Raw genomic sequence first — 13721 nt, 5'->3', positions numbered from 1 at the left:
AATTCTGTTGAAGGACAGTAAAGGATGACGAGGGAGAATGAATGGACCAACGCACAGAAATTAACTTGTACACTATCTCCGTTCAGATGTGGTTACATTCTTGGTCTTATAGGGAGAGGAAGAAAAATAATTGTTCCTGTCGGATCTGAGGATCTTAGGCAGATAAAAGAAATTCAGCTTCATCCTGTGCTTTGAGAGAGACTGCTGGCCGGGAGTGCTGGGGCAAGTCAGAGAGATTGTGAGGCTTTTTCAGTTCAGCATGTCAAAGCGCCATATTTTGAGTATCAGTTTCTGAGCCCGAGCACACCAAACAAGCATGCTCCACACTGTCCCATGCTGTCTGCTGTGGCCAGCTTGGGATAAACATGGGCCAAAGGCACATGGGGACTCTAAGTTTAGAAAGGAAATACTGTAGACTGTGCCAGAGCAAGGTGTACACATTTCATTTCACTCTGATCTGGCCCCTATAGTGCTTGCCCTTGTTCTGGAGGGAGAGCTGCTGGCATTTCCTTCTGACATGCCAATTAACATGCCTAAATTGTCCATGGTGTCATGCGAGTATTGGACAATTGGAGCTTCTCAAAGTTGGTTGTAATGGAGGTTTACTACCTAAACAATAGCCCCATGGAATGATGACTTCACTCGTCACATTAATGAGTGCTTCATAGAACGCTTTTTGTTTTTTGAATGGCTCAAAATTTCTAGGATAAAATCTGGTATCTTTTTAAACTTAACACACCCTACCCAACAAACCTTCCCTCAGCCCACTCATTATTATTTTCCCTTAAAACCCTGAAAGTAACTGCTACTGTTTAAAAAGCTCCTTGCCAGCAGGATTTACCTTATGAGTTCCTTTATCCTGCGTACAACTTGGAATTAATGATATTAGGATCTCCCACTTCCTAAAAATATGGCATCACTAGGAGCCAACAGAGGTAGGCACCCAAGAAAAGCCACTATGATTCATTAATAAGTCAAGAAGGACCAACAAGGGACATTCTGGATAGTCTCAGCCAGAAAATGCAATGGAGATGGGCTGCCAAGCACGGGGAGACACATCCCAGGAAGCCTCAAGGCTCAGATACTCTAAGTATGTTCTTGCTCACCTGACTTTCTTTCCGGTGCAGCCTGACAACTGCTTTGTTACACTCTCCATTCTCTGAGTCTTCAGAGGAATAACAGGCGCAAACAGCAGCGCATAAAACCAACATTCTACAAATTATTTATATCCATTTTCTAATATTTTAAAATCCATCAACAAAAAATATACAACCGTTTTGTTCTCAGTAATTTGTAACCACAAACCATCTAAAGTAAAAGTGCATGTTTCATGTTTTTAGGGCACCGGGAAGGTGGAAGGGGAAGGTGGGGAGATGGGAGAGGAGACTGAGTTGGCAGGGATTATACATGGTTCCAATACACCCTTCAAGCCCCAGCCCTTGTGGCCAGACTGGTATGCCCAGCTCTAGGAAGACAAACAGGGAAAAGGCCTCCCTTTCTAGTGTTCTTGACATAAACTTTCAGGGCAGTCACAGTGAGGGGAGCAAAGATCACCTGAGGGCCACCAAGCTGACTATCCAGAGGCAAAACTCCTTATCTGAGGAATTTAGAAGTAACTAGACTTCCCTATTATTTAAAGCTGGCATCTGGTACCAGGCTTAAAAAAAAAGTTATAAGTAACTAGAATTTCTATACATCTCCGGAATGCATGCATGTTCAAACTCATTGTGCAACCCTTGCTGACATCAAGGCACCAACATGTCTACAAGTGCAATTATTTATCATGACCTGTGTGGCTAATAAGGTCCAAATTACCCTTAAGCTCCAGCTTTAAGGTCCATAAATATCCCTAAACAAAAATCCACCATGGCGAGCTCAGTCCTCTCTCACTGAGGAGCCCCGCTGCACTCTTCTGCAGTGCTCTTTCTATCTAACAAAACTTTTCTTTCAAACCTACACTGTCATCTGTAAATTCTTACTACCCTACAACCCACAAGCCAACTACTTTTTCCAATGCCAGGTATCTGACACTTCACCTGGCACACAGCTCTTCTGAATATACAGTATGTTAGGTTGACTGGAAGAAATACTTATGCCTTTAACATAAAAACATTTGCCCTTAGGTACTGAGGTGCCTACACTACGCTTCATTACCCAATAACACATTGCAAGTAACACAATTCCTGGTCTTGAGCTATACCTGTCTTGTTTGTTCTTCATCATTCCAGGTGTAACCTGGGCTTCGACCTCAGGTTGATCCTCAGATCGTTCGTTAGGTTCGGTGTCAGTCTGTGGTTCGGTTTCTTCAGAGGGAGGATTGTGTTTACTTCCTTGAGATACAACTAGAATATAGCTTAAGCCACTTGTCATAAAAGAGACAAACTCTTCGAAGTCACACTACAAAATAAAATGATAAACTGTTTCCTTCAGGCTCCTGAAATGGATGGACTAAAATGGTGGTCACTACCCAAGTCAAATGAAATCTTCCCTCTCCATGGTCCCTGGGCAAAGGAATGTTACTCTTATAAATCTCCTGTTAACAATACATTTTTATTGTTTGGGGGTTTTTATTTTTGCTTTTTATTGAAAAATAATTGCATATATTCATGGGGGACATAGTGATGTTTCAATAAAGAAAATGTATAATAACCAGAGCAGGGTAAATTTGTATCCTTAGAAAAATAAATCTCTTGGACCCCAAAATCACTAAGCCAAAGGGAAAAGTCAAGCTGGGAACTCCATCAGGCAAACGTGCCTCTCATTTTATTCCTAAATAAGATTGCTACAAAGATTAAAAAAAAAAAAGCTACATACCTCCCTCATAATTTGTCCACAAGGAAATTCCTTGTGGGCCTCAAGATCTTTACCCTAAAACAGTTCTGTTGGATTTCACCCTGGCAATGTAAATTGATAATTGATAGCTTATCTTCACTGGTAGGGGACAGAGGACAGACAGAGCCAAAAGTCATCCCGCTGCTCACCAGACACAAATGCACATCTGATGGCTTCCTCTGCTCAGTTGTTTATGTAAAAACGCAGATTCACTAAGCAAGACTAAGGCATAAGTGACTATTCCTCTATGTCATCTCACATGTAAATCGTGTATTCAGTAAAAGCCTCATCAGAGACTCAGAAGAATGCTATTGATTGTCTCTTATCTACCTAAGACCTGGAAGCAACCCTGCTTCAAGTTGTCCCACCTCTCCAGGAAGAACCAATGTACGTATTACACATATTGATTGATGTCTCATGTCTCCCTAAAATGTATAAAATCAAGCTGTGCCCCGACCACCTTGGAAACATGTCATCAGGGCCTCCTGAGGCTGTGTCATGGGCGTGTCCTTAACCTTGGCAAAATAAACTTTCTAAATTGATTGCAACCTGTCTCAGATACTTTTGGTTCACATCTTTAACAAATCTCTCCCTATCCCTTCCCAGTCACTAGTCTCCTACATTTTTAAGTGGCAGAAGTTCAAAGCTAGTAGGAATTTATCTTAAAGGTAACCTAACAATATTCCCAAATTTAGGATGTTTCCAAGTCATCTACGGGGCTTGTTAAAACACATATTTCTGGAGCCCAATCCTACAGTTTCTGATTTAGTAAGTCTGAGGTGGGGCCCAGGAATTGGATTTTCTCAGAAGTTTACAGTTAATGCGAATACAGTTGGCATAACCCTTTCTTTCTACACACATGGAAGCCGGGACCAACAGAGATGGCATGAGTGGTGCAGTCAGTTCCACAAAGTGATGTCCAGTAGAATGGTATGTGATGACGTACATGCTCTTCTGCCCTTTCCAACACAGTAGCCACATGTGGATTTGAACACTTAAAATGTGGCTAGTGCAACTGAGACTTCACATTTTTAATGTAATTTAATCTTAATGAATTTAAATTCAAATGATCACATGTATCTAGTAGCTACCATATTGGACAGTTCATTTCTAGAAGTGAGGTCTCCTGACTCCCAAGCCAGTACACTTTCTAATACACAGCACTGCCTTTATTATATTATATCCCCAGACAAAAAAGAGTTGGTGGGGTAGGGAGGTGGCAGGAGTGGGGCAGTTGGGGTCGGGGCAGCCTGAGAGAAAGGCCCTTAGGTAAAGAAAAGATTAAAGCATTCTTGTGAAGCTGGTGACAGAGCCTTCAACCCAGAATAAAAATCAATAGAAAATGACTGGATATTCACTTCCAGAGGACTGATGCAGGGGCTCTTGGAGGGCCTGACATAAAGAGGTCTTCATGTCAACAAAACACAATCAGACCATCCAGTTTTGCTCGGTAGCCACTATTTCTACCGAAGATTTTTTTCAGAGCCACTATCATTGGCATCTCCATGATATGGACACCAACAGGGACACCAGGAGCTTATTTTAGTTGTTCAGACTTACTAATTTGCTTTTCTGTAATAAAGATTTAAAGCTTATGGAGGCCACTGTATTTAAACACATAGAGGATTTTTTCTTTTTAACTTTCATACCTGGTCTGCTATTCGACTATAGAAGTTGACAACTTGTTCTTCAGTGAGCACTGTCTTATGCTCTGCTTCTATAATAAATCCAGCTTTGGTAATCTTCAATTAGAGAGTAAGGTCAAATCCAGGTGTCGTGGGATCACATGTAAAACAAGTTAAGTTTGTTTTTTGGGCTTAACAAACCACCAGCTTTCAATACATTTTCTATAAGAACCTCAGCAAAATCTATAGGACACTTGGTTTGAAGTGGCTCAAAAATATACAAACTTTAAGATTTGACTGCTCTGCTGGATTTCAGACTTGCTTGGGGCCTGTAGCCCCTTCATTTTGGCCAATTTCTCCCACTTGGAATGGCTGTATTTACCCAATACCTGCACCCCTATTGTATCTAGGAAGTAACTAACTTGCTTTTGATCTAACTGGCTCATAGGCAGAAGGGACTTGCCTTGTCTCAGATGAGATGCTGAACTGTGAACTTTTGAGTTAATGCTGAAATGAGTTAAGACTTTGGGGGACTATTGAGAAACCATGATTCGTTTTTGAAATGTGAGAACATGACATTTGGTAGGGGCCAGGAGCAGAATGATATGGTTTGGCTCTGTCCCTATCGAAATCTCACCTTGAATTTTAAACTCCCACAATTCCCATGTGTTGTGGGAGGAATCCAGTGGGAGGTGATTGAATTATGGGGGCTAGTCTTTCCTGCACTGTTCTCATGATAGTGAATGAGTCTCATGAGATCTGATGGCTTTAAAAATGGAAGATTTCTTGCACAAGTTCTCTTTGCCTGCTGCCATCCACGTAAGATGTGACTTGCTCCTCCTTGCCTTCTGCCATGATTGTGATGCCTCCCCAGCCATGTGGAACTGTAAGTCCAATAAACCTCTCTCTTTTGTAAATTGCCCAGTCTCAGATACATCTTTATCAGCAGCATGAAGACAGACTAATATACAATCTAGTATAAGAACTATAATTTTTTAAAATTTACATAGGATGCTGGTAGAGTAGGATCATTTACAGAAGGATGCATGAATAGATCGAGCCTTGTAAAGACATAAAGTACTCAAAGCCTCTAGAGGTACCTAGCACCAGTAGTGCATTTTGTTCTATTTCACTCTAAATGGTACGCTTGTCTTTGAACTGACGATTAAGAGGTTGTTATTTTGCAATTAATTTAATCATAGTTGGAAAATATTACTTACTTTTCTTTTAATTTCTAGAACTTTTTTACTAATCACAGCATCCGGTTTGATAATAGCAATACTGTATAATTCCTCTGGAAAAAAATTTAGAAAAAGACAGAATTTCATTTTCTTGGCACGAAGTCTGGATAATGAAGGATCTGGCAATTAGCAATGTAAATTTCTAATGATCAGTTAATTGTTGCCCATTGATAGCTGTGTATCTTACTACGGCATTTCAACTACCAGAGGGTTCCTACTTAGAATCAAATGGCAGTTCCTATATTTGCATGCAGGGGAAACATTTACAAGAGTTTTTAATCCAGAGGAAACAAAAATTGAGTAGGTAGGCCCTGGTGGTTTGAATGCAATTCCCATGCGTAAGAATCACACACAGGATCCATCCAGCACAGTACTACCAGTAAGTGAAGTTTTAACTGTGAATCATGCAAGTAAACATCACCGACAGATTCATCTGTGAATGTATCGACATTCTTATAATGAGCTTTTAGTGCAAGATAACTCATTTGGTTATGGCTGTTTGCCTCTGCTCCCTCCAGAGTATGAACACATACACCCCACTACCCCAATGCAGATAATCTAGTGAAGGCGTGAAATTGTTAACTGCAAAGTAAACCAAGAGTATGGGTCATCAAGGAAGAAATTATCATCACAAATATTTGGAAGATGATGAAGGATGAAATAGGAAGCTGCTGTCCAGATAAGTCACAGGAGACAGGAATCCATTGTACAGGGTAACCTCTGAAAGGCTCCAGGCCCAGAACCAAAGGTAAGGCGAGTGAGGAAAAGAAGGTGCTTTTTAATAGCTGAGTCTTGCAAGGCCCAAATCATCATTTATCTGAATAATTCCTCCTTAATAAACATGGATTTGTTACCAGTGTTTTGCTGAAACAAGTGATGCTGTGATGACCGCCCACGTACAGAAAACCCTTGGATTACTTTGAAGTAAATTTACTTACGAACACTTTCACATGGTGATTCTTCACTAACTTCTGAATCTGAGTCTACTAATGGAATTTCAGGATACTATGAAAAAGAAATGCAATGCAAAGATAACACAGTTATGTTTTAATATGATAGTGAGTGGGTTTTTAGAAATTTTGTATCTAGTAAATATTTATAGTCTAAGAAATAGAAAGTAAAGTGGAAGAGTTCCTGAACTTATCTAACATTACTGTCTCCAGCTTTCCACTTAAATAAAATAAGGGATGTTTTAAAATGGAAGGGGCAGGAATAATGCATATGTGCAGTATGAAAAGGGTAGCAAACCTTAATTTTTTAAATTTTTTTTAAATTTTTTTTGAGTAGGAGTCTTGCTCTGTCACCCAGGCTGGAGTGCAGTGGTGCTATTTTGGCTCACTGCAATCTCTGCCTCCTGGGTTCAAGCGATTCTCCTGCCTCAGTCTCCCGAATAGCTGGGATTACAGGCACCTGCCACCATGCCCGGCTAATTTTTGTATTTTTAGTAGAGACGGTGTTTCACCATGTTGGCCAGGCTGGTCTCCATCTCCTGACCTCAAGTGATCTGCCCTCCTTGGCCTCCCGAAGTGCTGGGATTACAGGCGTGAGCTACCGCACCCAGCCAAACCTTAAAATTTAATAAGAGCATGGGAGATAAAATAAGAACAAAGCAGAAATTAATAAATAAGAAAACTGCAAACACATGATAATCATGTTAAATATCAAAAGGGCATTTGATAAGTGTGAAGATCTGTTCTTAACCATTACTCTCAGCAAATTTGGAACAAAACGATATTTCCTTAACTAAAAAAAAAATATTTCTCAAACCAATAATCAATATCCTATTAAAGAGCAAAGTACCAGATTTTTTAATTCATCCAAATAGCTTTTATGTTCTTACAAATTTCAAATAAATAATTGCTATATACTTACACTTATAAAGTCAATTTAAAAACAAAAAAAAAGAGCAAAGTACCAGAAGGACAAAGGTTCCTAACTTTCAGGGAAGCCATGAATATGCTTCTGTGATTCTGTGAACTATCCGAAAGGTTTCATTTTTATGTATATAAATATATATACACATGCATTGCCAAAATGCTTCCCAGAAAAGTTGCACCATTTACACACCTGGATAGTTACAAAATTAGGTTAAACAACTTAGGATAACATCAAATAAAAGGTAATGTACTTTTTTAAAATTAAAAGACATAAAGTACTCAAAGCCTTTAGAGGTACCTAGCACCAGTAGTGCATTTTGTTCTATTTCACTCTAAATGATAAGCTTGTCTTCAAACTGTTGTTAATCCAAAGTATTACCTGAGGTCGAGCCATTTCACCTGCTGCAATTTTTCTCTCCTCATCGATCAAATTAATAACTTTTTTATTAACAAGCGGTGCATTTGCACCCTGAATCTTTTCGATAATTTTGCCATTCTATAAGGGAAATGAAAACAGGAGGGGAACTTTCATTTGGAGAACACACCAAGAACTAACACTTAAACTGGACTAAGTCATCCCTCCCTTCTACCCTACTCTCATCCTCATGAATCCTCTTTTAGCTATGGTAATTAACGTTTTACAGTAAGGTCTTAATACTGTGAATGTTCTTGACTTGATAAACTCAGCTCTTTGAGTTCTACCTCCAATTTGCATGTCCTCCAGCACCTTGCAGCAAGTCATCCCCCTGCAGGAGCTCTCACCTGATGCAATCTCTCCTGAGGCATCCTTGCTTTAAAGTTGAACAATTCTGGATAGGCCTCCCAATGACATCCTCCCTAGTTATTTTTGACACCATGCCCCTTTCACTCACTCATCTTTTAACACCTGTTTACTAAGCATCTGTTTACTGGTGCCGTACCAGGCACAATGGTATAAAATAATGGATCTGGTACCTGACCTAATTAGGTTTTTTTTAAAAAGCCCTACATAAAAACACAAACATGTGAAACAGCAACCTTAGTAGGTGCTACCAAGAGTGGTGCAAAGCCCTTGGAGCTCCTATAAGAATGGGTTTTGGTCAAAGAGATCACGAAAGGTACTTCTCAATGTCAGGAAGTGATTCTTGGTTTAAAATATGAAAGACGGGTAAGAGCTAATTGGGCAAAAAGGAGAAGAAAGAGCAAAAGGAATAACAGACATAAGGGTTCTAAAGCTGGAAGGGAAGATGGCAAGTGACAAGGCCAGGTGACAAAGTGAGGGGGAGCCTGGTGTGAGTTGAAGCCCAGCAACCAGGAGAAGCCAAACTGTGCGCAGCCTGGTGGGCCAGGGATTCAGTCTTCATCCTAAGTGCAGTCAGAATGTTTAAGCAGAGGCCATGACCATGATTAAAATTGTTTGTAAAAATTATTTCACCTACTGTGTGGAAAAAATGCTGGGGGGAGCAAAAGAAAATATTCGCAGACAAGTTAGGAGCTATGCTAGAGGTGGAGGTGGAGAGATGACGGTGGTGGAGATGGAAAGGATGGAAAGAGGTAGATGAGTGTGACAGAGACCTGGGCAGTAAAATTTACAGGTCCAAGGTATGACTTGGATAGAATGTGATGTAAAGAGATGTCACAAGGTGACTCTTCTGTTTCTCACTTGAAAACTGGATAAATTATAAGTTATCATATTATATGCCAAATTCAGAGACAATAGAAGGGGACTGTGTTTTGTGGGGAGGAAGATCTGGTATTGAATGAGTTTGCTGTGAGATGCATTTTGAGAAAGCCAATAGGAGATGCCTAGACCCCAACTGGAAATGCTGCGAGTGGAAAGCATAGCATTCAGCTGAAGATGTAAACGTGATTTATTGATATACAGATGGTGGTGATTGAAACTGTGTGTAGAGGAAATTTTCTAAGGAGAGCGTACAGCCTGATAAAGTCAATATTTAATCGTGGAATAAAGAAGGGTGAATTTGCCAAAGGAACAGAGGGAAGTGGCATCCAGGAAGGTGAAAGGAAAACCAAGTCACATAAGCCAAAAGAAGCAAATATTTTAAAAAGGAGGGCATGGTCACCATATTCAAACCATTTAAGAGGTACAAATGATGAATACCTAACAATATCCATTATACTTAGTACAGGCTGGTACTTGGATACATTAGCAACAGCAATTTTGGTGGAATAATCAGAGCTCAGGTAGAATGGATTGAGGAGTTAATGGGATGAAAAGAAAAGAAGTAAAATTAAATATAAAAAGTCTTCTGACCAACTTAGCTGTGAGGTGAAGACAAGAAATGGATGGTGGCTAGAGAGGGATATGCTATCAGAAAGAAGTATTATATATTTTTTAAATTGAAAAGACTTAATCATATTCAAAAGCCAATGAGAAAGATACAGTTGAGTAAGGTTTAAATGAAACCTGAAACTCTAGTTACCATTTCCAACTAAAAAGTATCTTTCAACAATTCTGTGAATTATCTAATATCTCTTGAGGAAGGCTTCTGCTGAGACTAGCTGGAATGAATCTGTTGTCAGCTAAAAATGCTGACCCGTACAAAGGGACATTGAGGGAATATCTGAATAAAATGAGCATTGGACTTGATGGTGTTTTTGTGATCACAGAATTCTATTCTTAAATTAATGATTATGGATGTGGAGCAATGGGCAGTCTGAGACATGATTGCAGGAGTGATTCGATGAAGTTTATTGGAAGAAAAGTTTATTAGCAGCCAGGAGGTCAAGAATTGAAAGGCCAGGATATTGGGCGGGTTGTCAGTGTGGATACTAAAGTCCTCAAGGTGATGGCAGGACTCAGGATTGAGAGTAAGACTTTAAACCACACGCCAAAGACTTCAGTCATCAATAGACCTGATCTGAAGGTCGGTAAATGACAGGAGTGAGATGGGGGAATTGGAGATTTAGCCACGTGAAACAGACCTCTAGTAATAGCAAAGAAAAGAAAGTTATTGAAGAACTAAGAAGTAAAGCAAACACCAACTATACTTCACATTCTGAAATAAACAGTTATCACTTCTGGGCTGTGGAGAGAGTGTCCAAAGGAAGAAGGTAGAACTAAGGTAAGCCAAGGAAGCGAGACAAAAGCTCAGAGCCATGGTCAAAAATCTTAGGAAGTCATTTTAATTCCAGATGTCATAGAGTGGAAAGGTTTGGGAGATAGGGGAAGAGTTGGAGAACTGGGTGTGACAAAGAATAAGCATTAGAAGGATGGATGAAACATGGCTATGAGGAAGGGTGGACTTAAACTCTGGGCACTGATTGCAGGCATTAGAGAACATGGATTGGATGGTACACTTAAGGAGAGTGGGGCTGGGTCTACTGGTCAGACTGGACTAGCGGTCGGGGTGATGGCCCGATTAGTCTGTTTTGTGTTGTTATCAAGGAGTACACGAAGCTGGGAACTTCGTAAAGAAAAATTTATTTGGCTCAAACTTTTGCAGACTGTACAAACATGGCACCAGCATCTGCTTCTGGTGAGGCCTCAGGAAGCTTGTTCTCATGGAGGAAGGGAAAGGGAGACAGCATGTCATGTGGAGAGAGAAGGAGTGAGAGAAAGGTGAGACAGTGCCAAGCTCTTTAAGTAACTAGCTCCTGCATGAACTAATAGAGGGAGAACTCACTCATTACTGTAGGGAGGGCACCAAGCCATTTATGAGGCATCCGCCCCAATGACCCAAACACCTCCCACTAGGCCCCACCTCCAACACTGGAGGTCACATTTCTGCATGAGATTTGGAGGAAACAAATATCCAAACTATATTATCGACTATCCCAGAGCTCCAGCCTCTACAATGTGACCCACCTGCCCAATCTTTTCTCTCATTCCCATGCACCTACCCACTACGTGCAGCTAAAGCCTCCTCATTGTTCCATGAGCCCCCCAAGCCCATTCTGCCTCTGTGTTGTTATTCATTCTGGTCCCCTCATGAGTGTAATGACATCTAGTTTAGGAGTCAGCAAACCTCAACCCAGTCCAGAGACTGTATTTTAATCATGCTGAAATTATTCACTCCCTGGCCCTTTACAAAAAACAAAACAAAACAACAACAACAACAAAAACAACGTTAGCTGACCCCTCACCTAAATCGTTGAATTCTAAACATCCAACTTAGAGGAGATCTACAATGCATTTTTTACCATTCAATGCATTTTTTAATCATTAACCCAGCGATTCAACTCTTTGAAAGGGTTGCAAGAATATTGTTTAATAGCAGAAAAAAGTTATATCCAAGATGTGTTTTTAATGAGTATTTCTAATATCAAAAATAAATATCCACAGTGGAGGAACAGTCCAAGTCCTGTCTATCTCCTCCGTGAAGGCTTTCTTTCTTCTGTCTCAGTTCTCGAACTCTGTAGCAGCTATACCCTGTGTCACACAATTTAGCACTAACTGTACACTCTGCTTTTAGAAAATAGCACTATTTATGTCTTTCTAATTATTCATTTATATTTTATATTTATTTTATTATTACTTATTTTTGAAAATGGAGATGTGGTCTCCCTATGTTGGCCAGGTTGATCTTGAATTCCTGGCCTCAAGCAATCCTCCCACCTCAGCCTCCCAAAGTGCTGAGATTACAGGCGTTAGCCACTATGCCTGGCCTCTGTCTGATTATTAAAGTTGTGTGTTCCTCACAGAATATGTGGAAAATATAGAATAGTATGAATAATAAAACTTAAATTAGTCACCTGTTCCTCACACATAGAAAACTGCTATAACATTTTGGTGGATCCACTTGCTTTCTTCTTTATAAATATAGAGATAAGAGTAATGTGTATTACAAAAGACTGATCATACAGATGCTTTCTTGTATGGATATGCATGAATGTTTATAACCAGTTCTCTCTTGCTAGGTATCTATGAAATTTCCAAGGTTTTACTCCTGTAAAAAATTTATTGTGCAAATCTCCGATCATTTCCTTAGTAAAGATAAACGCCATCTTACTTTTCCTTTCCCTGATGAATCCAGTGTGTCATCATCTAATCCCTTCAATCCATAATAAGCTCCTAGCAGCCAAATTATAAAATTTATAAATAGTCAAGAAAAGATAAGGCAAACATTGTGTAATTACTGTCATTGGCAAACAATTTCATGGTAATTTTACAATGTTACTTGTTCTTAACTGCAAACTGGAATCTGATAATGCAATTGAGAAAGTAAATATACTTACAACACTAAAGAGAAAAACAGGTTCACATTTATCTCTAAATGGCTGCAAAGTCACAATGTTGTCAGCTTCTGCCTGGAAAAAGTAAACATTTCATATAATAATAAATAAAACTATATTCAAGTAATTTGATACACTATGTTGAAACAATGCAGAGATATATATAATTTTTAGGTTTACTGCAACATTCGGTATGCCTTAGTGGTTTTAGGGATCAAACTGCACATACTGGCGATTCAAGCCCTACGTCATTTGGCCTTAACCTTTCCGCACCGTTTCCCTTTACATTAACCAACCTTTAGCCAAACTTATTTACTCATCTTTTCCTCCCTGGTCCTGCCCTTCTTTTACTGTCCCTGTTCAACTATCCTTCCTCCAATTCTGTCTCACTTCCTTTTGCTGTAAATCATCTCTCGTTCTGCACAGCACGTTACTGCCCCTCTCCCAAGGCACCTATGTCCCTTTCAATATTCTACTACAGGCACGTGTGGGCCTGTTACACCTGCTCTGTTAGAAGGAGAGTTGTGTGCACAGAGATAGTATGTTTCCTATCCACGTTTGTATCTCATCTCCCTCTGTCAGTCATAGGGCCATACATTAAAAGAGGTTTACTAAACATTCCTTGAATAAATTAGTAGTCAACTTTTAAAGATTTTGAATTTTATGTCTGTAATTTTCTTAATATTTTCTCATAAATTTCAAGTTGTTCCAAATTAATTATGAACAACTATACATTCAATAATAGTGTCTTCTTCCATATTAACATAGTATCCATTGGTCCAGCTGCCAGAATGAGATCGTTTGGTAGGGTCTTCTGTAAGAGTTGGTGTCTTAGTCAGTTTGGGCTGCAATAGCAAATTGCTATTGACTGGGTGGCTGAACAACAATCATTTATTTCTCATAGTTCTGGAGGCTGGAAGTCTCAGATTAGGGTGCCAGCACAGTCTGGGTGCCAGAAGTGAAGGCCCTCT

At 39.7% G+C, this 13721-nt stretch overlaps 1 protein-coding gene across 1 annotated transcript in view; it reads right to left on the bottom strand.

Moving 5' to 3' along the window:
* Positions 1–13721, bottom strand: part of NME8 (NME/NM23 family member 8) — a 51801-nt gene that overhangs the window by 30299 nt on the left and 7781 nt on the right. The window contains exons 6-11 of the mRNA NM_016616.5: positions 12754–12825; positions 7955–8071; positions 6637–6703; positions 5678–5751; positions 4482–4574; positions 2201–2397 (exon numbers count right to left, since the gene is read on the bottom strand). Of these exons, the coding sequence (NP_057700.3) occupies positions 2201–2397; positions 4482–4574; positions 5678–5751; positions 6637–6703; positions 7955–8071; positions 12754–12825 (620 nt within the window). The remainder of the gene's footprint in view (positions 1–2200; positions 2398–4481; positions 4575–5677; positions 5752–6636; positions 6704–7954; positions 8072–12753; positions 12826–13721) is intronic.

This window comes from Homo sapiens, chromosome 7 (genome assembly GCF_000001405.40).
Source record: "Homo sapiens chromosome 7, GRCh38.p14 Primary Assembly".
NCBI classification, from domain to species: domain Eukaryota; kingdom Metazoa; phylum Chordata; class Mammalia; order Primates; family Hominidae; genus Homo; species Homo sapiens.
This window is presented reverse-complemented; position numbering and strand designations above follow the sequence as displayed.